This window comes from Homo sapiens, chromosome 17 (assembly GCF_000001405.40).
Source record: "Homo sapiens chromosome 17, GRCh38.p14 Primary Assembly".
Taxonomy (NCBI): domain Eukaryota; kingdom Metazoa; phylum Chordata; class Mammalia; order Primates; family Hominidae; genus Homo; species Homo sapiens.
The window spans coordinates 72,068,141-72,094,886 of record NC_000017.11 but is presented as its reverse complement, the minus strand read 5'-3'; the positions used below and the strand labels follow the sequence as shown (position 1 = coordinate 72,094,886).

Sequence of the window (26,746 nt, the reverse complement as noted above, 5' to 3'; positions counted from 1 at the left end):
GAGTGATCAAGGTTAGGTTAACCCTCAAAAGGCTTTGGTAGCTGCAGAATGGAATGAGCATATCAAGTTTTAAAGCACCAGGAGCCACCAGAGAAAGATGCAGCAGGGCTCTTGATACATATTGATGATGATGATGACAACAATGAAGATGGTAACAGTGATCATTCATTGAGTTGACTGAGTACACTGCATGCCTGGTAAGTAGCACAGGGCACTTCATTCTTATCATCTCATTTGATCCTCACAAGACGTCCATCAGGCAGGTGCTAGGATGATTTCCACTTTGCAGATGAGAAGGTTGGGGCACAAAGGGGTTGATAATTTGCATAACATCATACTGCTAGTAAGTGGCAGCGCTGATACTCAAAGCCGCATATATCTGACTCCAAAAAGAATAATCTGCTAATATTATACATGGATTTTTTTAAAGAAATGAACTTTAAAATTTGCATCGTTAATGTCTGTCTTCCTAGAAGACTTGTATAATATAAGCATATATGAACTATATTTAACATTTATTGGTGAAAAATTATTTACCATGTGAGGTTGCTTGATTTGTTGTTTTGTACATTTTTGGTCTCTGGAGCTTCAGAGAAAGAAAATATTAATACAATGCAAAAACTGTCCGCTGACAGCTGGTACTGTTTGTTTTCTGTGATATGCTTTTCAGTCCAGTAACAGTTAGCCAGAGAATGGATGGGTGGGGAAAATATGTTCCAGGTAGAGGGAACAGCATGTGCAAAATCCAGGTATAAGAGAAAACATGGTGGGTTCTGGGAATGGCAGGTCAGTAAGATAATTAGAAAACAGAAGGCCAGTGCAGGTATGGGATGGAGTGAGAGATAAACCTGGGGAAATAGGCTGCGGTCAGACCAGAAAAAGCCTTCTCTGCGATGTTAAAGACTTTGCAATTCATCTAAAACCAATGAATACCATGAAGCTGAAGACAGACGTGATCCAATTTGCATTTTAGAATGAGAATGCTGGGTGGAATGCACCACTTTTCTTGCTGCAGGCCTAGAACCATATATTTCCCCATTCAAATGGCAAGAGCAGTTGAATGTTTTTATGTCCTAGCTCAGTACTCCAGAAGGCTCCTTGAAAGCATACAGCATTTTCTTCTTTGGTGTCAGGGAGTCCAGCCAACCATAGCTGTTGCTGCAGCCTGGCCCTAACCTCAGAAGACTGCATGCTTTCCCCACTTTCAATATGCTTTCTGCATTTATTTTTCTCTATGAGATACTAAAAAGACAGGTGCTGAGTTTTGGGGCTTTCTGCTCACTGTTAGCCCTTATGCTGTGTTGTGCTGAATGCTCAGCTGAAGCTACCTGGAAGTGGGTACGTGCTATGAGTTCCTGAGCGACCATTTACCTTAGCTATAAGTCATTCTGCACGCCAGGAAGGAGCAGGTTGATAAAGAGTGGTATTTATTTACTTAATAACAAAATAGAAATGTTGTTTGTATCCTACTAGCACTAGAATCCCTAAATGTTGTCTTCACCCACCACAATGGCAGGCTGGACAGTGACAGGTGAATAGAGATTTAAAAAAATCTGCTGGCCTCTCTCCTTGACATTGCTCTTCCCTGAAGTCAAAGACACCAGCATCTCTTTGCTCAGTCTTCTCTAGAAGCTGCAGATCAATGTGGAGAGGCAGGAAGAGAGGAGTGTAGTCCTGGACTTGTTTTAACCTTGGGAGTTCTTGTTGCTTTTTCTGATTCAATTGTCCAATTCATTCAGTCCACTAAATACATATTTCATGGGGCTCAGTTGCTAGGGTCAACCAATTGGGATAGAAGATCACAGGTAATGACTGCCAGGAAGCAGAGCCAAGAAATTCCTTCCTTGCTGCTTCATAGGTGACAGGTCTTCAGAAGGTGAAGGACTGTTGTTTGCAGGGTGGACTTCAGTGACCTGCATGGAGCTTGGGAAACTTCACAGTTCCACTTTGAACTCCCCTGTAAGAAGTCAGAGCAAACATTGGAGGTCAATGACCAAATCATGGCTTAAACTCTTTCCATGGGAGTCAAATTCCACTCCCAGCTGTTTAACCAGGACATCTGGAACCTGGATTTGAACATTTTGACCTCCATTATTGAAAGGCAGTCTATCAGTTGATTACCTACTACCACCTTTTGGCCAAAGAGAGAAAGAGAAGAAATAAAGATGGCCGAATGTGTTGTGTAGCCTTTGACTTAGTTAAATGGTTCAGCAGCCAAAATGGCATATTTGAAAGTTGGTCACTAAAATATTGATTATAGTAACAAACTATAGATCTGAGCTTCTCTTTTCTTACAAGCACAGTGGAGAAATAATTTAAAATGTGGAGGCACCATGAATATCACTGTGGATATTTTCATTAACTCTGTAAAAATCAGTCATCTATGCCGGAAGAACATGATGACAGACAGACACGTTTGTTCTTGGCATTTCCTTTTTTTTTTTTTTTAAACAGGGTTTCACTCTGTGGAGTGCAGTGGTGCAATCATAACTCACTGCTGCCTCAACCTCTCAGGCTCAAGTGATCCTCCCACCTCAGCCTCCCAAGTAGCTGCAACCACAGGCACTCACCACCATACCTGGCTAATTTCTGTATTTTTTTGTAGAGACAGGGTCTTAGCAGGCTGCTCAGACTGGTCCTGGGCTCAAGCAGTCCTCCCGCCTCAGCCTCCCAAAGTGCTGGGATTACAGGAGTGAGCCACTATGTCTGGTCCCCGACTTTTTTTTTTTTCATTTTCTCTTTTTAGTTTGATAGTTGTATTATTACCAAAATTTATTAGTACATTTGGAGATTATGGATAAGTATGAAACCTTATGTCAGGCTCTGCAAAGAGGACCTCAACTCAGTTTATTTTCTGTAATGGGGATTTATTGCAAGATTGGTGCATGTTGAGGGGGAGAAAGGGATGCTATCTCTCCGGATCCTAGTAGCCAGGACTGTGAGGCATAGCAACCTTCATAGAGAACTGGGCTTTAGAGACCAATCTTGTCTTGGTTTGCTTAATATTCATATTTCCTGAAAGAGAGGAAATTGGGCTTATCTGCCACCATTCTACATGGACAACCTTAGTGGGCAGAATTTAGGATAGCATATCCCAGAAATAGTTAGCCTTCTTTGTATCTGGTTCTGTGACTTCTCAGCCATTCCCTAAGGTAGTCAGATGTGTGGTTAGAGAGAGCAGGGTTGGTTTATCCACACGACATGGGAGGAACTACATCATGTTTGATATGGTTTGGCTGTGTCCCCACCCAAATCTCATCTTGAATTCCCATGTGTTGTGGGAGGGACCCAGTGGGAGGTAATTGAATCATGGGGGCAGGTCTTTCCCATGCTGTTCTCATGATAGTGACTAAGTCTCACAAGATCTGATGGTTATTATAAGGGGAGTTTTCCTGCACAAGCTCTCTGTCTTTGCCTGCTGTCATCTGTGTAAGACGTGACTTGCTCCTCCTTGCCTTCTGTTGTGATTGTGAGGCTTCCCCAGCCATGTGGAACTGTAAGTCCAATTAAAGCTCTTTCTTTTGTAAATTGCCCAGTCTCAGGTATGTCTTTATCAGCAGCATGAAAAGAGACTAATACAATGATATATAGGAATAAACCATGTTAGTCATTTTCCTTATACTGTGTTTGGACAAGTTGGGCATCTGATGATTTTGAGGTTTTTCCTGTAGCCCCTTCTTCATATTACTTTCATCTTGTACAAAGTCTTGGAGTATAATTTTATTGTTATGACATTTACGAATGCACTTTTTTTTTCTAATGATAAAGTTTTGTCTTTATAGGTTCATCTCAAAGATCTCTCTTTGCATAATGTGTGTGTGGACCTGCCTACAGATACATTGGGTGGAAGCCCTAGGAGCCTCAAGCAAGTCTGAAGATTGGCCCTGAGAACCACTGTTCTCATTATCAGCAAGGATTTTATCCAGAGACCTCTAGGAATACATTCACTAAAATGTGACTGTGGTCCTGTGGTTGTATGAACTCTGGCTCTTCTCGTGAATTACATTTCACTGGAGTCAGGTGTTTTCTGTAAACATCGTTAAACCACGAGACCAACTGCATTGAACATTTTTTGCACTACATTGTTTTATTTCTTGCTCGTCTTTTCCTTGCAGAGCTGGGGCTGGGGTGAGGTGTGTGGTGTACCTAGCACTCAAAATGTAAGGATTCTCAGAGTCATACAGGTGCACGGTCAGCACCTGAGAGTGAGCCACCCTTTAACATTTTGCCTTCTAGGTGCTTCACTTGCCTTGCCCAAGCACTAGCCCTAGATTAAATAATATGTTTCTATTAGTTTTTTAAAATTATAATATTAACAATAACTAGCACTTATTGAGCACTCCCTTATGTGCCAGCAAATGTGACTTACATGTATCTGCTTATTTTTCCTTACATGAAACCCTCTGAAGTAGATACAATGGGTATCATCCATGTTTCTCAGACAAGGAAACTAAAACACTGGAATGTTAAATCAGTATTTCAAGACTCATCTAGGAAGTGCCAGATCCAGGACTGGGACCTGGGCCATCTGATTTTCAGCACTTGATCTCAAACTTTCCACTGTATACCTCCTCAAGGACATTTTTGTCCATGTGACAAGTAGAAAAATTCCACAGCTAGTTTACTGACCAGCCAAGTCAGAGCTTCCCTGACACCAGTGTAATCATAACACATGGGGTTTGAAACTGTGGTCAAGAATTTTCAGACTAGCTCTCCAATAAGAGAAACTTCAAATATCAAACCCCAGGGCAGCTCGTTTTCATCAGGGTCTTTTAAATGACTGATTCTTGGACCAGTCCATTGATACATTCATTCAACAAATATTTATCGGGCCCCTCCTGTGTGCTAGATATCGTTCTAAATGCTTAGAACACAGCTGTGATTAAATTAATGCCCCTATCTGCATAGAGGTTACATTCCAATAGTGGGGACAGATCATAAGGAAACAAACAAACATACAGTTTGATGTCACAAAGAAAATAAAGCAGATCTCGAGGGAAAGTGAGTGTTGGGTGGCCAGGAAAGACTTCTCTGAGAAAGTGGCATTTGACCAGGGTCTTGAGTGACATGAGCAGAGAGAGAGAATGCGAGCCTCACATAGCAGTACTGTAGCTACTTTATAAATAAATTTTTCCTATTGTGTGTTTGACTTGACATTTTAAAAAAGTACAAGATCAACATTGACAACAATGTCACGAGAATGTCACTCACCATGGCTTCATGAGCTATTTTCACCTCCTTGCTGTGGCAGGAGGGAGTAGGTGGGGTAGATGGCCCATGAAACGATTTGCTCCACGGGCAAAATCTTCTGACTGGGGATTTGAAGTCCGCTGAGTGATGCCCTGTTTGTTCTTCTGAATTAAATTAGAATTGGGCAGTCTCCATTTTGCGGTTTTCTTCTTCAGCCTCTGGTGGACCAGAGCATCAGCCAGTTTTCATTTGTGTTGATTTCCTTGGAAGAAAAAGTTGTGGCAGAGGCTGCCCCATGTGTGCGAAAGACCACCGTTCCTGGGCTGTGGCTGCAGCCTCTGTTTCCGTTAGCCTTTCCGTACGGCAGTGTTGTCAGGTCACCGATTCCAAATGTCAAATGACCCAATAGTGAGCACGCAGTGGATTTGTCAGTGCTACCTAAGGCTAGGTCAGGACAAAAGCTGCCATGACAATGTCACGTGTCATTCATTGTGCAGGTGAGTGTCTTAGGTGAGGCTGGACTCTTCCTCCGAGAAGATCTGAAATGCAGTGAGCACTTTTGCTTGAAGACAGGGACTGATTTTGGTAGCATCCTTTGGTCTCTTCTAGTCTGGGAGTCAGAGAAAGTTTGCATCAAAATGTCATCAGGGTAAGTGCGAGTGTGAGTAAAGGTAGATGTTTTTAGGGCATCTCTGGCCGGAGGTAACATTTTAACATTTCAGAGCCAAATTTTTAGTTTTGGCAAAAACATGTTTTGCAACTCAAAACTTCTCTTCCTGCTTTACCCTGATTAGTTGCTAGTTGAAAACGCTCGGTATCTCAACTGTGTCCTTCCCTCCCTATTGCCACCCCTTCTCTCCAGCTGCTAACTTGCGAACTCAGGGCTGTGCCCAGCGTAGACGTTTATAGCAGTTGCAGGGAGGTAGGTGGGAAGAAAGGAGGGAAAGAAGACAGGGAAGGAAGGTGGAAGGGAAGAAAGAAGAAATTCATTATCTATCCACTTTTAGACTTGGAGATAACATTTTTCTCCAGGACACGGTGCAGGCCTGAGCAGTTAGGACAGTCGGGTTCAAATCTTAATCCCCCACTGAAAACACTGTGTGACGTTGGACAAGTGACAGAACCTTTCTGAGCCTCAGATTTTCCTCATCTCTAAAGGAAGAATGTGAGGGATTGATTTCAGTGAAATAGCTCCCGTCAAATGCTGCTGCTACCATGTTTAGCAAATTGTTTAACACATAATAAGCATTCAACCTGAGAGTTTTATTGTTACTTTATTTGGGTACTGAGACCTCTGTTTCTGGGGTGGCACTGCCTGACCTGGGGTGGAGTTACACCGTGTATCCTAGGTCCACCAAGTCTGTGGCTTTACATAGCTAAGAGGTTTGAACAACCCCAGAGCTTCTATCATACAGGATTTCATAGAGATTCAGATACCAGCAAAGCCGTTGGAAGCTGTGATGGATAAGTTTATGTGTCAATTTGGACAGGCTGCAGTATTCAGTCATTTAATCAAACAATAATCTAAGTGTTGCTAAGGAGGTATTTTGTGGATGTTAACATTGACAACCTGTTGACTTTAAGTAAAGGGGATTACCTTGGATAATGTGGGTGGGCCTCATCCAATCAGTTGAAGGCCTTGGGACCAAAAACTTGGAGGAGAAATTCTGCCTTAAGACTGCAGCCTCAGCTCACACAGGAATTTCCAGCCTGCCAGCCTGCCCTATGGATTTTAGACTTTCTAGCCCTGAGAATTGCATGAGCTAATTCCTGAAAGTAAATAAGCTAATAAATACTTGTATATTATGTTATTGTATTATTTTATATAATACAATATATAAACTATATCACACAATTATGTTGTGTGATATATAAACTATATCACAATTATGTTACCTTTGTAATTGATATATAAACTATATCACACAATTATGTTACCTTTATATAATATAATAATTACATGCTATTTCTAATAAAATTTCTATTACATTATATATTCTATATTATGTTATGTGCCAAATTATAAATTATAAATACATGTAAATTTATGTATAAATACTAATAATAATTTATAATTTGCTATATAACATAATATGGAATATAATGTATATATTCCATATTATGTTATATATTATATTACATATTATGTTATAGATTATATTCCATATTATGTTATACAGCAAATTATAAATTATTGTTTTTTCTTAATGATATGAAATATATATATATAAATATATATATAAATATATATATATAAATATATATATATAAATATATATATATAAATATATATATATAAATATATATATATATAAATATATATATATATATATATATATATATATATATATATATATAATCTATTCTTGGTTCTCTTTCTCCGGAGAACCCTGACTGATACAGAAGCTTCTAGCTTAAGTGTGTATATGGTATAGACAAATTTTAGCAGGACTCTTTCTTCAGCTCTTCTGTAATAGGAATCCAGACTTGAATTCTTAATGAAAACCAAAAAGAGGACAAAGGCAGGAGCTTCTGGCTAGGTGGGGACCAATGTGGGGATGGATTTCCTAATCCTAACCTGAAAAGGGAATTTCAGGGTAGAATGGATGACATCCCAAACCCCAGACCAGTGTTTAGTCCCTGAAAGGCTCCGTGGAGAAGTAAACAACTTGGGTGGAGTGCACAGTTTTGTCTGTTCCGTTGCAGAGCTTTCCTGGGCCTTTTCCCCAAGCTGGGTTGTGGTGGTTTAAAATTAGTTCTTGTTTGGCCTGCGAGGGAGGAGGGAATTTGCGGAGTCTGGGCTGGACTCAGCCTTTTGCTGTGGAGGTTCTGAGGGCTGTGTCTGTGACTTGTGCACATTGAAAGTGGAGAGACTTGGGCTCAAGACCTCCACGTGACCAAACCTCTGTCCTTGTCGTCAGAGCTGTCCAGAAACCTAAATGGAACTGAAGTCCACCACCCTGGTCTGATCTGGGAGACACCTCTCCTGTCCCAAATAGAGCTCTCTACCTACCTCCCTCTCTGAGATACCTGCGATCTGCAGGAGGAATTACTCCTTTTGGGCATGACCTGTAAGCAACTGCTCCATTGCAAGTCTCGTTCCCAAACCATTACTGCCCATGAGCACAGTGACATTTAATTTCATCTTTAGGATTCATTTCCATCATTTCAAGCAGGGTCATCTTGGAACAGGACACAGGATAGGTAAGCTTTGGTGGGGATGGGAGGAGGAAGGTTGCAATGCTAGTTGCCTATTTAGGAAAGAAGCCCTAGCTCACTGGGATGAAAACATTGGGGGCTGGCGAGCGGATGATGCTGATTGTTCTATCAGGGGATAAAAGAGCAGAAAAACAGACATTCATTCTCTTTACAAGTGTGTTTTCAGCTGGCATGACACCTCCTTTGACTCTGGAGTTGTTTTCCCTGAATATCTTTGCTTTCCCCTTTTCGGACATTGATTCCAATGTCAGCGTAAAGCTAAACATGGCTGACTACACATCTGGCCTGGTCCTTGTGAAAATATCTAAGCTATTACTGAATTCAGAGCTATTGCTGATTGGTTTCTTAAGTGGACTTGAAATGTATAGCTTTATTCAAATAATCATATCAACAAGCCATATTGCTAACAGGTCAGCATGGGTAGTTGATGACTAATACCACACACACACACACACACACACACACACACACACAGATACATATGTGCACACACACCACTTCACTTCATTGTGAGCTGAATTTAGTTATAATCATTCCAGTCTCAGTAATGTTTGATTTATTTGTTTTATTTTGTCTGATAAAAACAGAAGTGATGAAAGATGATCAGCTTTAGTTGTTAATACTTATTGATACATATTTAGATCTTTGATTGGCAGTTCAGTCTTATGACCACTAAAAAAGAGAGACCCTTGGAGGAAAGATTAACTTTATAAGAATGTTAGGATTTTAATAGCTTAGATAAAGTTTTTTAAAAGTTGGAAACTAGAAAATTTGCTTTGAATTTAATTTGTAAAAAGGACTTCCAGACCTCTGTCATATAGACAGTAGATTTCTGTTCCAATTGCAGATAACTATGTAATCTGTTATTCAGTTAAGAATGTTTATATAGTTTGTGTTTAAATAGACATATTTAAGCAATGAAGAAAGTATTGTAACTAGGCAACTATTGATTATCTACCCAGTGTGTCCATTCCTGCTACTCCCTTCCTAGCAGAACCTTGATTAGGTCGAGGTTTAAACAGCAATGTGTCAAGGCAGGTGGACCAGGAGGATCCTAAGGGAGGGAACTTGATTGATCTGGGCCAATCGTAACACTCTTGAACATCCCTTGGTCAGCAATTGGCTTAGAGGTGGGCATCCTAAACTTGGCATATGAGAAAGACAGTAGGAATTTGCTGGGCGCTCTTGGGAAATATTGCATAAAACAATTCATCAAAATTGGCCTTTCCTTTTTGCCTTGACTTGCCATGTAAGAAGTAATGCCTAATGCTGCGACAGACAAATTGCAACCATCAGGGAAAGCCAGGAGACTCTGAGAGAGACCAATTATTGAGCTGATGAATGAACCCTTCCTGAAGCCACCTACTTCCTCACTTATTGGTGTGTCCTTACTGTGTAAACCCCTTTTAACTGGGTGTTTTGTTTCTTGCAGCCAAAAACAATCCATTGATACACTTGGTGACATTAATTGAGAAAAAAACAATATGGGTAAGATTTAGTCTTCATATTTGTTTTTTGTCCTTAGTAAGGCATAATGTAATTAACCAAAAAAGAATTGATTATACTTTTTGTAACTCTTGTAGCCATTGTCAAAAGATAAAGTGATTTGGAAAACATGCACATATGCATGTACACACACACACACACACACACACACACACACACACACACACTCTCTTCAATCCATTCTTGAGGTTGATATATTAGTTTCCAGGCATTTGTTCAGTATTTCTATATCTAAAAATTTGTGGAAGGATCCGAGAGATCCAGATTCAGTTTTTATAGCTGTTTGCAAGTATGCTAAGTTGGCAATGCATAGATGTGTAGAGAAGGAGAGTAAGAGACACAGGGAGCAACGTGAGTGAATAATCTCAAGGGATGAACAGTTCCCAGCTTTGCTGGGACTTCTTTAGCCATATCACATCACATGCTTAGAAGTCAAGTTTGCTAGGTGTGTTTTACAGATAGAAAAGTCAAGGTGCAGATAAGTCAGGACCTGCACATAGAAATTCAGTGATCTGAGTTCCCAGTGCCCCCAAAGGATTTTCATTACTGCATATTACCTCTGTTTTATTTCCTCTTATGAAAATGCACACAAGCTCAACCCTCTGAGGACCTGTTGCCTTTTTGTGAACTTGAGTAGAACAGAGATCAAGCCACTTTGCTGTGGCTGTTAGACTGGAAACTCAGAGTTGGTCATGAGAAAAATGGTTTTCATTTCCGTGAACCCAGCCATCTGAACTGGTCAGGCTCTAATAACCAAGTTTAGGGAAGCTCATTTGGAAGAAATGAATTTGCTTTTGGTATTTTGGAAAGGTCTCAGGGCCTTGCCAACATCAGCTGCTGATGGAGTTCCTGACTGTGTGTGACAGGTCTCAGCGCCCTGCTTCCAGGTTGCTCGAGGTACCCACTCCCTGGTAATCACCTCTGATTTTAAACTTCCTAACAGTCTGGCCATGGAGGCATGGTATCCGTAACATCCCCCAAAGGAGCTAAAGAAGAAATCCACAATTTACCATGAGCATTTCTCGTCTGAAGATTGCCAAGCGATTCCTCCAGGACATTCCTCAAGGTGTGTATGAAAAATAGTGTCCACCAGGGACTGACGTGGTTCAGGTACCATTGCTGCTTTGGGGTGGAACATTTCTGTAAAGTGAGAACAACATAGGGTTAGGAGCTACGTGAACAAACCCCCTATTGACTAGGAACAAGACATAAAAACTTTCTGGTAGACGCAGATCTAGTGGGGAGGACATGGCAGAGTCAACGCCCTCCAATTTTCTATGGATTACATCCCATCTCCCTCTCAGTGACATGGCTGCAGTTGTGCTTGGCCCATGAGGGTGCTGTTCTCCTTTCCTTATGGAAATTGGAGAATGTGGGAAGAGGAGACTTTGTTTTTCTTTTTAAGTGTTCTCTTTTTAAAGAAAAACAATTGGACTATATTTTTTAGAGCAGTTTTAGGTTCACAGCAAAATTGAGCAAAAGGTAAAGAGAGTGATTTTACTTTTTGTAACTCTTGTAGCCCCCTGCCCCCACACACATGCACAGCCTCCTCCACTATTAACACGCCCCATAGAGTGGTACATTCCTTACAACCAATGGGCCTGCACTGACACATCATTATCACCCAGAGCCCATAGTTTCCATTAGGGTTCACTCTGGGTGTTGTATATTCTATGGGTTTGGACCAATGTATAATGACATGCATCCACTATTATAATACCATACAGAGTGCTTTCACTGCCCTAAAAATCCCCTTGCTTCACCTATCCATGCCTCCCTTCTCCCACCTTCTGGCAACCACTCACCTATTTACTATCTCCAATGTTTTGCTTTCTTTTCAGAATGTCATATAGTTGGACTCATATAGCATATAGCATTTCAGATTGTTTTCTTTCACTTAGCAATAAGCATTTAAGTTTAAGAGACTTTTTATTTTGTTCTGTAAGATAGCCTAACATTTTTCAAAAGTAGGACTGTTTTTTAAACAGATTTTTATCAGAAGGAAGAAATAATATGTGGACACTGTGAAATGGCTGTGTTTATAAAAAATAAGTTTTAGACAACGAAAATATACCTATAGAATTGCTGATATTACCAACGAACTTTTGTCTTCATCTCTCTGGCTTCCTGTCTCTGTGCCATCTGGTCTCTTAGACTGTTTCACTCCTTATAAACTGATTGGCCTGACCTTCCTGCTCTTGTTGAAGTTACATTCAATTGATATTTTCTTATTTTAAATAAGCATATTCCTTAGGGTCTATTCTATGAGGACCAGGATTGTGATTTAGAGGAAAAATCTTGTTCTCTGTGTATTTATGCAGTGCTATATAATTGATATACCTTGTACCCAACAAAGGCACAGTGTCTTCCTATTTTTGCTTCTCCCTTGCACTGCTATCTGAATAATTCTTCAGACAAATCTGCCCCTTCATTCTGGGGGCTTTTCATTTAGAGACTACAGGAATTTGGTAATTGCTGCAATGTAGAAAGGTATCACCTTCCAAAATATTGGAAGGTATCCTGATATTTCATGTTCTACCTAATAACACCTTTCAGGACTCATGTTCTTAGGCAAATGCTTTGGGGAATGTGGCAGTGATGTATGTGCTGGGGAAACACAGAGGCAAGCATGGATGAAAATCACTGTGGAATATTGAAGAAGGCTTCCAAGAGGAGGTGACATTTGAGCTTGATCGTGAACACGAAGTAAGGACAGAACTAGGAGCTCAACTAGAGGAAGAGGCAAATGGTATACTAGTGTAGACTGTGTTAATGTGTAGACAACTGAAAGAAGTGGCATATTTGGGAAGCTTTAGGATGTCCATGGTGAAAAGTACCTACGAACAAGAGGTGAGAGAGATGGAGGGAAGAGGGGCAGAGGATGAAATTTCATCAACATTGCATTGTATTTCTTCCATTTGTCCTTTCAGATCAATTTCTGTTCATCCACCTTGTCCTGGGAGGGACATCAATGGGTTTCCATGTCCTTTGGCTTCTGGTTGAGTTCACTCAGTGGAGAACCCTGGCAAGAGGCAGGAAAAGGGGAGGAAGGTAAGATCAGGGTATTTTCTCCAGTGGCTTCCTACATGAGAAGTCATTTTGGGTTGGCTGTTTCCCCCAAGTGAAGATCATTGACTCTCTAAAGCTGGCCAACTCAACTTGTCCTTTTACTAATTGGATCAAGTAATTGCTACCTCTGTTTGTCCTTTTGAGTCTAAAAATGGCAAGCCCCAGGTTACTGCATTGTCTTTTGTGATTTCCCTATACCACACCTCTGTAAATAAACCTTTCTTAAATCATCCCTTTTTGAATGTGCCATCTGCTTCCTGTTGTGGCTCTGAGCTATATAAATATGATGTGAAAAACCTAGGACACAACGTAGATCAAAGAGTGCCTGGAAGAATCTTTTTTCCCCCTTATTTTATTTTATTCTTCCCATATTTACCAGTGAGATATCTTTATATTACCCCTGAGATCTGAAACCGTAAAACATAAAACATAGAAGTGTTTTTTTTAAACATTTTATTTTATTTTTTATTTATTTAATTTTTACATTTTATTTTATTTTAGGCTTTATGATACATGTGTTGAATGTGCAGGTTCGTTACATAGGTAAATGTGTGGCATGGTGGTTTGCTGCACCTATCAACCCATCACCTAGGTATTAAGCCCTGCATGCATTAGCTATTAGTCCTGATGCTCTCCCTCCCCCGCACCCCCTAGCAGGTCCCTGGTGTATGTTGTTCCACTCCCTGTGTTCATGTATTCTCATTGTTCAACTCCCACTTATGAGTGAGAACATGCAGTGTTTGATTTTCTGTTCCTGTGTCAGTTTACTGAGGATACTGGCTTCCAGCGTCATCCACGTCTCAGTATAGGACATCATCTCATTCCTTTTTATGGCTGCATAGTATTCCATGGTGTATATGTATCACATTTTTCTTTATCCAGTCTACCATTGTGGGCATTTGGGTTCATTCCAAGTCTTTAATAAGGGTTTGGTCTTACCTGATTTATGTTAGAAGGAAACCATTTGTTTGGAATGAATAGAGTAAATCTTTTGGGAAAATAGAAAAAAAGATTATTTTAAAATCATGTGAATATTTAGGTCTAAGAGTTGTCCATGAATCCTTAGCTCAGTGTTCATAGATCCCTACAAACAAGATCTATGAATAGAATTCTTGGAATCCTTAAGTTAGGATAGGAAAAAATTACATCTTTATTTTTTCTAACCTCTATTTGAAATGTAGTATTTCTTTCCATCACAAGTGTATGTGACAAGACACAATAGTGTTGGTCATTACTAAGGCTTTATCACCGACAAAAATCATAGGTATTTTTATATCACACTGCAGTGTTGTAAAAATCTCAAGATATCATCTATACTCTTCACTGCTTCGAAATTATGGTAGTTGGTAGACCCACCTTCAGGTCTTGTTATTGGCGGCATTAATAAGGAAGTGTATATGTTATGTTTCACAATTTTATTTTCTAAATACTTTCAGATTGCAACTGCATTTCCATATAATTTATTTTATAATTCGTTGTGTTTCAAGTTATGCATTTACACATGTAATTCTAAAAAGAAGTCCATAGACTTGACCACATTTCCAAAAGAGTTCACAGTAAACAAATTATTAAAAATCTCTGTTAATTCATAGATACTCATTCCAGAAAATACAGCAATGGCTGCATATCAGGAATATCTTTTTCCAGAAAAAAAAATATCCGAAGTTACTAGATATTCTGTAGTTTCTGTATGTGGAGTTTCTGGGGTAAATCCTTTGAGTTCAATATGTTGACTATGTGCTATGTCATCTCAAATATTTGACCTTATTCTGTTTTTCTTCTCTGGGTCATTGTATGTTTTGTAACTAGATTTCCTATTTGGTATTTGTCTCCCAAATTTTAAGAGCAAAACTTGTCATCTATCGCCTTATTTTAATTCTCACTATGTAAACTTGTAAGAACTAACTCACAACTTGGTGTCTCATAACTCACTTCTGAAATATCCAATAAAAAACTGCCAAGTTATTCACCATTGTTTATTTTGGTCCTAGTACACTGTCCATGCCCTGGTTGAATATCTCGCCAAATTTCCTCCAATTTATTGCAAAACCAATTGGCAGAACAATGAGGAAACCTGTCTGGGGCCAATTTCAGCAATTGATGGTGCCGCCTTCTCTCCCCACCTCCACTTTCCACTAATCCATCAAGTTTCTTCCAGATCTAGCCATTCTTAATGGGAATATAACACCTTGGCATAGCTCCAAACATGAACAAAAAATATTCTTCCTGTCCTTACTCCGCTGTTTCCCTCCCCTCTGCTTCTCATCCTTTTCTCAAAACTGACACCCTCCAAGTACTTCTTCTCCCAGCAGAGAGGATGGCCTACCTGGCATTGCAACATTTGAGAATGAACCTTATTTTGAAAATAGGTGATCATGCTCTTATCAATACAGGAAATGGGAGATTTAAAGCTCTTCCCATCAAGGTGTGAACCTTCCACAAAGCAGCAGCTCTGAAATATTTCCTGTGTGGTTGGCATAGGTGAAAGAACTGTTTTGCAGAGCCTATTGAGATCAAAACTAGGGAGTGTCTTTGCAGCCTGTTGTTAGTCAAAGTAGTTATGTATTGCTGATGGTGCTTTTCTAACATAGACCTTAAAGCTCTTTTATGTGGGCTGTCTTTTTGCTGCATTTTTAAGACAGAGCAAGAAGCTGAGATTATCTGCTCCCACTGTGGTTTCAAGACTAGAAACTCAAGGAGGTTGTAGGCTTGTCCAAATAACTTTGGACAAGTATACTTTGATACTTGTTCAATGTATACTTGATACTAGTATTTCACTAGTATCAAAACCATAGTGAAATACGTGAATTAAACTCTGCTGCCATTTTGTTTTTTGTTTTTTTATTATTATTTTTTAATTATACTTTAAGTTCTAGGGTACATGTGCACAACGTGCAGATTTGTTACATATGTATAAATGTGCCATGTTGGTGTGCTGCACCCATTAACTCGTCATTTACATTAGGTATATCTCCTAATGCTACCCCTCCCCCCTCCCCCCACCCCACGACAAGCCCCAGTGTGTGATGTTCCCCTTCCTGTGTCCAAGTGTTCTCATTGTTCAATTCCTACCTATGAATGATAACATGTGGTGTTTGGTTTTTTATCCTTGTGATAGTTTGCTGAGAATGATGGTTTCCAGCTTCATCCATGTCCCTACAAAGGACATGAACTCATCCTTTTTATGGCTGCATAGTATTCCATGGTGTGTATGTGCCACATTTTCTTAATCCAGTCTATGATTGATGGACATCTGGGTTGGTTCGAAGTCTTTGCTATTGTGAATAGTGCTGCAATAAACATACATGTGCATATGTCTTTATAGCAGCATGATTTATAATCCTATGGGTATATACCCGGTAATGGGATGGCTGGGTCAAATGGTATTTCTAGTTCTAGATCCTTGAGGAATCGCCACACTGTCTTCCACAATGGTTGAACTCGTTTACAGTCCCACCAACAGTGTAAAAGTGTTCCTATTTCTGCACATCCTCTCCAGCACCTGTTGTTTCCTAAGCATTATGTTGAGTTGATTTTCAGATTTCTCCCTTAGGTAACAACCAGAAAGAATTTTGGGATATTGTGTTAGTTAAGGTGCATGCAGGAATACAGAAAGCACATTAGGTGTTTCAACAGAGGGGATTTAATTTAGGAAGTTGGTTATATATATTTCAGCCTTTTTGGAAGGCTGAAGTAATGAAATGGGAACAATGAGATAACATAGAGATAGTAACTTCAGGAAGAAGCTACCCCTACCAGGGCTGGGGAATAAGGGAAAAGATTAGGTCTATTGCAACCTAAAGGATCAGAGGAAGGGTCTTGAGGAGTTGAAGCCCAGCCTCTGAGGGGGAGGCCCTATATGGCTGCTGATGGCATCCCAGGAGATTGAAGGAGGAATCTTATAGAGCTGGAATTCAAATATCTAAGGAAGGAGCAATACTGACTTCCTAGAGCTTGTACCTCTGAGAAAGCACTTTGAGGCTGACTCTAGGAGATGGGGGCTGTATCCAACTGCTGCTGTAGGGATGAAGTATTGCTGCTAGGTAGCACTGGCGGGAGCAGCAAGTAAAAAAAAAGTGGGGAAATGCATTCTGCCTTCTCCTGATTCCAATCTCCCTTTACTGCCCCCTATTGCCAGAATCTATCTATTAGGAGCAACTAGCAAAGGAAAAACATGATTTACAGAGACTCTTTTAGCGTCCCAGAGCAGGGTATTGGAGGTTTGGGAGCTGGGAGACAGTAGCTTACTACATCACACAGGTATGTAGGACATTTTTGGATTACCAGAGGATGTACCAGTCACCCATAAGGATGTTTGGTATCAGGAAGAGGATGATTTAATATGAAGTCTACAGGTCATATATGTATGCCTAGAGCTGGCAGGTGAGTCACTGGGACTTGAGATCCTAGGCCTTCTCTCGTTTGCATAGTCATCTTGCTTGGGGCAGAGAGAGTGGGGTTGGTGTGGGAAGAAGATTGCAGCATGCAGGGTTGTGGGTGGTGATCCCAGTGTCCCTTGTCCAGCCATGCAGGTACTAGAAGCTTCAGAGCAGTTGGGCTGAGGCTACGGTCAGGGATTAGGTGGGGAGGTACCTGGCAGAATATCTGAAGGACCACACCAGCATTTTCTTGTAGAGCAGTCAATGTATTGGTTTAGACAAACATTTGCACCCACTTAAGGCCCCAGTTTCTGGAATTATAAGGAGTGGAAAGAATCTTGATTATAAAAATCTACAGATTAATGTGCTCATCGAATAATTATAGAACATCTAGTATATACTACCCATTGTGCTGGGACCAGGGAATGTGAAGATGAATCAGGTAAAGATGAATCTGCCTTCAGAGGAGCTCAAACATTAACAGAAAATTATAGTCACTTTATTTCTGGCAGAATGGGAACAGAGTTGAGGGAGAGGCAACTTACTAGGGCACATTAGGGACAGCTTCACCCAGGAGCATGAACTGAGTCCTGCTATCAGGAGGGATGTTCAGTAGATGGCAAGGGTCGGGGGACAAAGGGCCATGGAATGATGAAGCAACGTGAACACAGCCCAGAGGTGTAGCATAGATTGGTGCCTTTGAGAAAGTGGGAGGGACAGCAGGTAGAAGGTCAGGGTCTCCACTGAGGCAGCAGCTTCACCTGCCTTCTCTTTCCAAACATTCTATCAGCAGCCTGACCGGTTTGAATTTCACCTTCTGTTCACCTTGGATGAGAGCAGTAATCATCACGATCCCAGGGAACAGCCAAAGGAAGAGAAAAGGCAAAAGATTTGGACAAGACTCATGAAGACTAACAGCTCTTGGATAATTGAGAGAAGGCAGCTGCGTGAACAGTTTTGATGCAATCATGAAGGCAGGGCCCAGTGCCTGTGGCATCTGCCTTTTTCTGGAACCAATCCATATTTCCTTGTGGTTTTCTAAGGTGCAGAGAGGGCACATTGGGAACTTTGCTTGGGGTCTTTTTCACATCTTAGAGGGAAGGTCCCTCAACATCTGCATTGGCGGAGTGTGATCCTCATGTCCCTCTGAATGATCTGGACTTGAGGTAACCAGCCCCTTCCAGGAAGCTGTCCCATGAGTGAAGCCTCAGCAGCAGCCTCTGTCAGTCCCTCCCCCACAGAACCTTTGGCTTCCATTTGACCAGCCTTGACATCCAGTGTCCAAACACCGATAAAATTGATTCCACTAAGCGTGGGAAAGTCCTGGAGCATCGATTGTTTCCTCCTCTGCACCCCCGATACCCTGGCATTAGCACTCTCCCAGAATGTACCTTGCTTGTTTGATTGGAGGAGGTCAAAGCCCTGATGAAGAATGAGTGGAATTCCACAGGATTGGAGCAGTCTTGATAAATGACAGCAGGGGATGGTGTGGGGAGGGGAAAGGATCAGAGGAAGTGTGGATAAATGAATGGCTTAAAAAATAATCCACCTTTGCCTCCCCCTTTTCTACCAGTCTGTCTAGTGCTTCAGGGTGAAAAAAAAAAAAAAAAGCTTGCCTTTCTAAACATTTGGAGTTTCAGAAATGATCTATAGAGCATGTTTAGTTTTTCAAGTTAAAAATATTAAAAGAAAAAAAATGTTTGAGGGCTTTACTGCTTTCCCGCAAAGAGCTAGAGCCACCCAAGCAGGATTGACTGTCATTGGTTTGAGGTTTCTGTTTGCTTTGAGGCTATTTTTTCCTTAGTGCTATAAACTAGATCAGTCCATTTTTAGCTGATAACCCTTTCCAATTTCGCTGTGAAATGAGGGGCTGGTTGGGTGGTTTTTTTTTATGTTCTTTCCAGCGTTGACTTTTATGGTCTTTGATTCCAAGGTACCTCGTCGACTCTGAAGACGAGAGATGGGTAGGTTCTAACTCCAGATGAGCCACTGCAAGATGGTACCAGGATGAGATAGAGAGTCTCTGTACTATCTTTTATATGTTCTCAAACCCAGCCAGGGATCAGAGTGACAATATAACATGGGGAATCATAGAGATGTTTATGGTAATTCTGCTATGAGTCAACTGAGATGTCCCTTATGGAGATAACTTCCCATACTATAGGCAGTTGGACAAAGATGTAAATGCCTTGTTTACAAATGCTACCCAGATCTCCTAATTAGGACCACACATGCGGAGAACCCAACAGCTTTTGGACTTATCGGCCAATGGTCTTCTTGGGAAGGTCTCTCCTAGTCATGGGAATTGTCTTTTTATTGTTCAAGCTTTTGCATAGACCTGGAAGAGGCATCCATTGCTGTTACCCCTGAGTTTATAATCATGCTGCAAGTCCAGTGGGGAACTTTGGCACAAAGCATTGAATGAGATGGGACTGCACTTATGTAGCCTGCATTTCTTGAGAATAAAGATTTCTGTTCATTTAGTGCAGTGGTTATCATCTGGGGGAAAACCAGTGAGTAGAGGCCAGGGATGCCACTAAAATCCCTACACTGTGCAGGAAAGCTGTCAGCCCTTTGTCCCACAAGAGATTAACTGGTTCCAAAAGTCAGTAGTGCTGTGGTTGAGAAACCCTGTTTACCACCTGTAGGTTCCAGAGAGCTCGGATGGTGGTGGTCATTGTGCTAAGTTTCAAATTCAGTATTTAGGTTTGGTTTTTAGCTTATAGGCAACAAATTGGCTGACTATGGGGTGAAAAGGAAGCACCTCCTTTATCAAGATTGGCTTCAAAAGATGTCTGCCTCCCCTTCTGGTGGGTCCTGTGTCCATTCACAGTGTGAGAAATGGAAAGGAGGTCACTAAGAGACTTGCAATGGATGTAATAACTGGATGCAGAAACTCTGGATCTGAAGGGAATGTTCATGACTATTTCATCCCTCCTGCTGCCTTGGAGAACCAAACGCAGGAGCCACCCAAGGTGAGACTGGGGATTATGCAGTTTTCAACGTTGCTTCCCATGGACTACTTCTCCTTCCATCATTTGCAGATTTTTTGGTGTCTTTTTTCTTCTGGAGACTCTCCCCTTTTCTCTGAGCAGTGTTCTGGCTATTTCAGATCTCTGCATCTATGGAGGAACACATGCTAGTTTGTTGTTGTGTGGCCAAATGCCAGCAAGTCATTGCATTGTGTTACCACTAGCAACTCTATTAGCCTTTTTAAGTGAGGTTCTTGAAAAAAAATAATGCGTAGCTCAATTTTCCAATGGTGAAACCGTAGGTATCATAATACTTTAAGGAAGAAAACACTTTTGGTTGCAGGTCTCTTTTACTGCTTTTCAAATGGTTGTGTGTAAGCAATCATTTACTCTTAATATCTACCTTATCCATGGTAATATTCCAAGCAAGATATTGTATACTCTTCCTTGGAAACACCCTTGAGTATTTAACAAGATAGAGTCCTCTAGATAACATAGCCCTACTTGCCTAAATCTAAACTCTTGAATATAATGAAAAGTCTCCCATCTGGACCATCTTGGAATAGTCATGGTTTATAGCTGTTAAACTCCAAATCAGTTACGTCTCTTGGCATTAAATACGATTTGCCTTCCAGTTTGTCTCATTAGCACTTTTCAGCCCTCTCTGACTTAGAGTCCCAGGCCGTTGATGAGGGCACAGGTGGGCCGTAGGGTTAAGCAGAAGGAAGGAAGCCACCCCCTGCCTGCCATGCTCAGTGATGGACCACTGGGTCCTACCCAATCTATTTTCATCTCCCAAGGCCTTTTATGACCTTGCTTTAGAGAAAGAAAACCGCCCTTCAAAGGCCTCGCTCTGTCAATTTCCCCCACCATATGTTCTTATTAAAATGTTTATGACACTCTTTATCTTAGGCTTATTATCTTAGGATTGGTATTGATTAATAAAACATGCTACAAACTAAAACTTACTATTTAGATTTTAAAAAGTGGGAATAACAATAACACATATATGATTTTAATCATTTTCTAAGCAAATGTTTCTAGATGCAAAGTAGTCTCAATAGCAATGGAGAACACTATCAGGGCATATTATTTTCAAACTAGAAACACATTGAATATATATTTGTTTGGGTCATATGCCTCATGATTTTTTTTTATGAGACTAGATAAAGTATATTGCAAGGCCGATAGCAGCAGAGCATTTATTGACATATTTTAGGTGTTTTCCTATTGACTGTAGTTTGTCTTTGTTTGACAAATATAGCCCTGTCAATTCCTTTGATGATGGTGTTTTCGCAAAGTACTGTATGTTCAGATATTAGCATTAACAGCATATGGTAAATAAGCTGTTTATATTAAAGATTTTCATTGTCTTATTATAAAAGTAGTTATGCTCATTGTAAAATTTTGGAAAGCATAGAAAAGAGTAAGGAAGAAAATAAATATAATTCATGATCCCACCACCCATTTATAACCGTAATTTTTTAATAAACATGTGGATACATTAAGATACAGCTATACTGCATACATACACACATATAAACAAGTAAAATATATAATTATTTTGGTAACTCTATTGCATAACCAATTTTATATACTTCTACTACCATTTTACTATGAACATTGCCTATCAGGACAGAATTCTTTATAAACAGTTTTAAAGGCTCTGTGGTAAAACATTATGAGGGTGCAGCATAATGCTTACTCACTCTTAGCAGTATACAAGAAGGCTGTTTTCAATTTTTCACTATGATTAACGATGCCATAATAAGCAGCATTGTCTCAATCTCATAGATTTTGTGAGAGGTAAATGAGATGGTTCATGTGAAGTTCCTAATATAATAGTGATAGATGTTCAAAATGCCTTCCTCTCCAGCTTTCTTCCTCTCCCTCCACCTATGTTTCTCCTTTTCTACCTTTAATGCATTTTTTTTTCCTTAAAAATAAGACCCTAGAATTATAGCTACTTGGTGAACGTATATACACTTTTTTTTAAATTTGTAGTAATTTTTACTTCCCCATCAAATGCAGTTATGTGCATCTAGTTCTTGATTGGCTTGAGATGCCTTGTTAACCTCTGTCCCAGTCTCAATCCCATGTTAAAATATAGAAAGGTGGGAATGAAGGTGTGCTCTGAAGTCAGTTATCACGGGTAGGAGGGTCTGTGAGTACATTTCCAAGTCCTTGCTGTCTTCCAGTCTTATCTAGCTGAAACCATCAGCCCATTTGGTTCCTGGGCGTACCCAGATAGAATGGTGATGCTTTAAGAGTTCCATCTGCACTAGGCATCTAGAATTTGATTTGTTGTGGAAGGTAAGATCCAAACACCTTCTTGTCCACAAAACCCATTGAATTGTGCCATATTTATTCCATTCATAAGATTGGATCCTTTCTCCCATTTCTGATTTATATATACTTTACCTCCTTCTTGCAATTGTAATCCTGTCCTACACACTAGTCTGTTTGGCTGGGCTTCAAGCTTCTGTCTGGTTCCTGCCGACTCCTTACCCCTGGGGAAATGCAGTCTGTTTCCAACTGGACAGGCCATGTGGAAGCATATTGCTACCACTCTGCCAGGTGTACTTAGAAGTTTTTGCTCTCCTCTTTCACCTTCAAGAACTAACTAATTTCTTTGAGCACTTATAGAATTCCAGATCAAGGCTAAATTTCCCATTCCTCTTAGGTGTGTAGACCATCTCTCTTCTCAAAGCACTGACCCTGGGGCTGATCAGACAATCAGTTTTGAGCTCATCCGTCCCAGAATCCTTCCTTCTTCATGGCATTGGCAAATGCCACCAACTTCTCAGCCTGCTCAGGGTCAAGCCAGCTCATGAAAGGACACCCTCTGGTGTGCTTTCTGGCTGTTTCAGGACCACAAGAAGAAGCAGCAGCTCGCAAGAAACATGTTGCTAAATAGACCTGGCTTCTATGGGAATCCCGGAGTTAAGCATTCCCACCCCTTTGGGCCACCTTTCACATTTGATTGATTTTTTTTCGATTGGTTGTTTGCCTGACCTGATCAGAGAGTTTGGACAGGAGTTTCTGTTGACACTTTATTTCACTTTGGGTAAAGTTTAAACATGACTTATCACAACCCTGACACATCTGGAAGGCCATATTTTGCCCCCCTCCTGTTGTCTACCTCTTTCAATGATGAGAATATAGGGCATAAAGGCCTTTTTTGTACACGAGGAGAAAGTTCATTGCCTTGGGTCCTTTTAGAGGTAAGTCTTAGGCCGTCTAGGTTATAATCACTGCTAGATGATCCTTCTCTTTTTTCCCATTGTTAAAAACCTTCATACTTACTTTATTTCCCACAGGTGAAAACCATCCATTTCTTGGAGAAGTGCCACGGTGGGGTTGCAAGTCCCAGGATCAAGTTTTCGATGTGTCTCTTTTTCCCGTAAAGTGGCTGAAATCTGAAGCTGAATCTGCAAGTGTCATGGAGTCATTGAATCTCACAGTCTCAACTGATAAAAGTTATTAAAGGTCGTCTGGTTCAGCCTTCTACTTGATGTGGAAATCCTTTCTACAGTAACTCTGTGTGGGAATCACAGTTCACTTAGGGGCTTAGTCTCATAGTCAAAATGTCTTCTTCCTAAGTGGGAAATTACTTCCAGCTTCTATTCATTCAGTAGTTGTTTAATACTATCTCTCTCTCTCTCTATATATATATGTATTATATATATATATATATATAAAATATATAATGTGTATATATATCTATATATGGATATGTATACGTATATATACATATATAGAGAGAGAGAAAGAGAGAGAGAGAGTATATCTCCATCTAAAAGCAGAAGCATAAAACATTATACCTTTAACACCAAGATCCAGTTAGGTGTGAGCCCCACAGGCATGCTGCTGGGCCCATGGGACCTTAAGTTTAGTAAATTCCAGAATTTGCCTTTAATAAGTTCAGAGTCTTAATATCTAAATATATATTTTAAAAGATGTCTAAAACAAGTTTCCTACTAAAAAGTGACTTATAGTCTAGAAGGCAAGGAATGACAGTCACTCATACTTTCTTTCATGTGGTAATCATAATGGTAATAAGAATGATACCTTACATGCATTGAATGCTTTCTCTGTGCAGGTACAGTTTTAAGTGCTTGACGTGAATTAACTCATTTAGTCATCATAATAACACTGCAAGGTAGGTAAGCACGTTCATTAACTTACCCATTTCACAGAGGAGAAAACCGAGGCACAGCTGCTCAAGATTATACAACTAAGAATAAGAGGATCCAGGATTCAAAGTAAAGCATTTTGCCTCCTGAGTCTGTAGACTGTACTGGTATGCTGTTTAATCTCTTGCAAACAACTAAGATGTTTGGTAGAAAGAGAGAAATGCCATGAAAGAGAAAGGGCAGACTCTTGTGCTTGGAAAAGATGACCTGTTTTGATGCCTTTGTAGATGATTTATGCCTGGTGTCGGCTTCTCTCGGGCATGTTTCTAGGTATGAGGGAGAAGGGAGTCACTGGCTTAATCTGTTGGTTACCACCTGTAATTTACAGCAGCAGGGTTCACACTCAACTGGAACTTGGTGTTAAAATGATAATATTTTATGCTTTTGCTTTTAGTGGGTGACAATAAAAAAATCAATGGATTATAATTACAGGACCTTGAAGTTTAGTGTTGCCCCAGACTATAATGAAAATCCATTTGTGGTATGACAACCACAGATTAGCAATTTATCTCTCCTGAAATAGCAAGGCAGTTTATTGTGTTGCTGGTTTGCTACCACTTGCAGAAGGGACCAGATAATGTGCCAGGTTGCCCTGTGAGTAATAACCTGGTTTTATTATACAGGATAAATCAATCACATAGCTTCTTGCATTGGCTTAATGAGGTTAGATTAGCATGCACAGAGCTTGGGAAATAGTTATTGGTCAACAGCCTCCAAGTGCTGACAGAGGACCCTCAATGGGCTGAATCTGGAGTGAATACTCAGCAATTTGCTTTGCAGGAGGGTGATAAGAATCTGAGACTTGGTTTGGGAGTTGGTTTTCAAGAGGGCAAGATTTCTTTTTCTTTCTTTATTTTATTTTATTTTTTTTTTTGAGATGGAGTCACCCAGGCTGGAGTGCAATGGTGTGATCTTGGCTCACTGCAACCTCTGCCTCCCGGGTTCAAGCAATTCTCCTGCCTCAGCCTCCCAATTAGCTGGGATTACAGGTGCCTGCCACCATGCCCGGCTAATTTTTTATATTTTTAGTAGAGCTGGGGTTTCACTATGTTGGCCAGGCTGGTCTCGAACTCCTGACCTCATGATCCACCTGCCTCAGCCTCTCAAAGTGCTGGGATTACAGGCATGAGCTATGATGCCTGGCCAAGAGGGCAAGATTTCTAAAATACAGTTGAAACTGCAGACAACTTTTGTAGATGAGTAGATCAGTAATGAAACAAACAAAAAAACCCCCAAACAATAATTTTTTTAAAAAAAGAACTGGCAGTCTTTGTCATTTCCCTTTGGAATGATGGATTTACTTAGGAGAGGACATACATAGAAGGGGAATGGATTATAGAATATCACACTAGCTGAGGGCCCCAAAAGGAAAGCATCCTGCCTCTCTATGGCTAACATTGGTTGGGGTGTGGGAGTTGTTTTGGCACAATGTCTAGTGACTCCCTGTCTTTCCAAGCTCCCTTATGTCACAAGTGCCACCTTTATTGCTTGAGCTAGGTTCGTGGCAGGGGAAAGACATTATAGTTCCCCTCTGCCCTTTGTACCCTGGCTTTTCTGTAGATGTGTTAGAGCCTTCCTTTGAATATCTTTCAGACATTTGCCAATAAGAGCAAGCTGAAAGTAATCAAGACCTTCTCCCTTGGGTGAGCCTTCCTCACTACATATCTCTCATGAAGCTAATATCTTAATTTGCCCCCACTCTGTGTGTACAACTAATAAGAGTGCCATGCATTGGGCCAGGCACGGTGGCTCACGCCTGTAATCCCAGCACTTTGGGAGGCCGAGGCGGGCAGATCATGAGGTCAGGAGATCGAGACCATCCTGGCCAACACGGTGAAACCCTGTCTCTACTAAAAATACAAAAAAATTAGCCGGGTGTGGTGGCATATGCCTGTAGTCCCAGCTACTAGGGAGGCTGAAGCAGGAGAATGGCATGAACCTGGGAGGTGGAGCTTGCAGTGAGCATGAGATTGCACCACTGCACTCTAGCCTGGGTGACAGAGTGATACTCCGTCTTAAAAAAAAAAAAGAAAAAGTGCCACGCATTAAAAATTAACCATAAGGAGTTGTGTTGTGGGATCTGGAAGAGGGAAAAGTAGACTCAGAGAGAGGGTTCAGGTGAGGTCCAGTATTGGCATTCTCTATTTCAGGGTCAGTCATGTCTTGCCTTTTGTAATGAAGCCATAATCCCTAAGGAAATTCTAGACAAGGCAGA

General features: G+C 40.6%; 2 long non-coding RNA genes across 3 annotated transcripts in view, besides 2 other annotated features; one reads left to right on the top strand and one right to left on the bottom strand.

Moving 5' to 3' along the window:
- The window catches only part of SOX9-AS1 (SOX9 antisense RNA 1), a 49,752-nt gene extending 25,907 nt beyond the window's left edge, over positions 1-23,845 (top strand). The window contains exons 3-7 of one of the 2 annotated variants that reach the window (NR_103738.1): positions 9,842-9,897; positions 10,859-10,981; positions 12,846-12,966; positions 18,154-20,338; positions 23,656-23,845. This is a non-coding gene — a long non-coding RNA (SOX9 antisense RNA 1). Of the gene's footprint in view, positions 1-9,841; positions 9,898-10,858; positions 10,982-12,845; positions 12,967-13,485; positions 14,950-18,153; positions 20,339-23,655 lie in introns of those variants that run through there. The other variant, NR_103737.1, reaches the window with a different exon arrangement.
- Positions 1,406-22,554, bottom strand: LINC02097 (long intergenic non-protein coding RNA 2097). The gene is made up of 6 exons (NR_110827.1): positions 22,045-22,554; positions 17,578-17,674; positions 12,753-12,937; positions 10,926-11,055; positions 5,212-5,800; positions 1,406-1,957 (listed from the first exon to the last, which is right to left on the bottom strand). It is a non-coding gene; the product is annotated as a long intergenic non-protein coding RNA 2097 (long non-coding RNA).
- Positions 1,728-2,241: an enhancer, noted in NCBI's record as "E1". NCBI's record gives its function as "enhancer in node, notochord, gut, bronchial epithelium, and pancreas" and the evidence as "EXISTENCE:transgenic organism evidence [ECO:0001131][PMID:16458883]".
- Positions 1,924-2,036: a conserved region, noted in NCBI's record as "conserved region; E1". NCBI's record gives the evidence for it as "COORDINATES:sequence similarity evidence [ECO:0000044][PMID:11707075]".
- Positions 23,846-26,746: the final 2,901 nt, after the last annotated feature.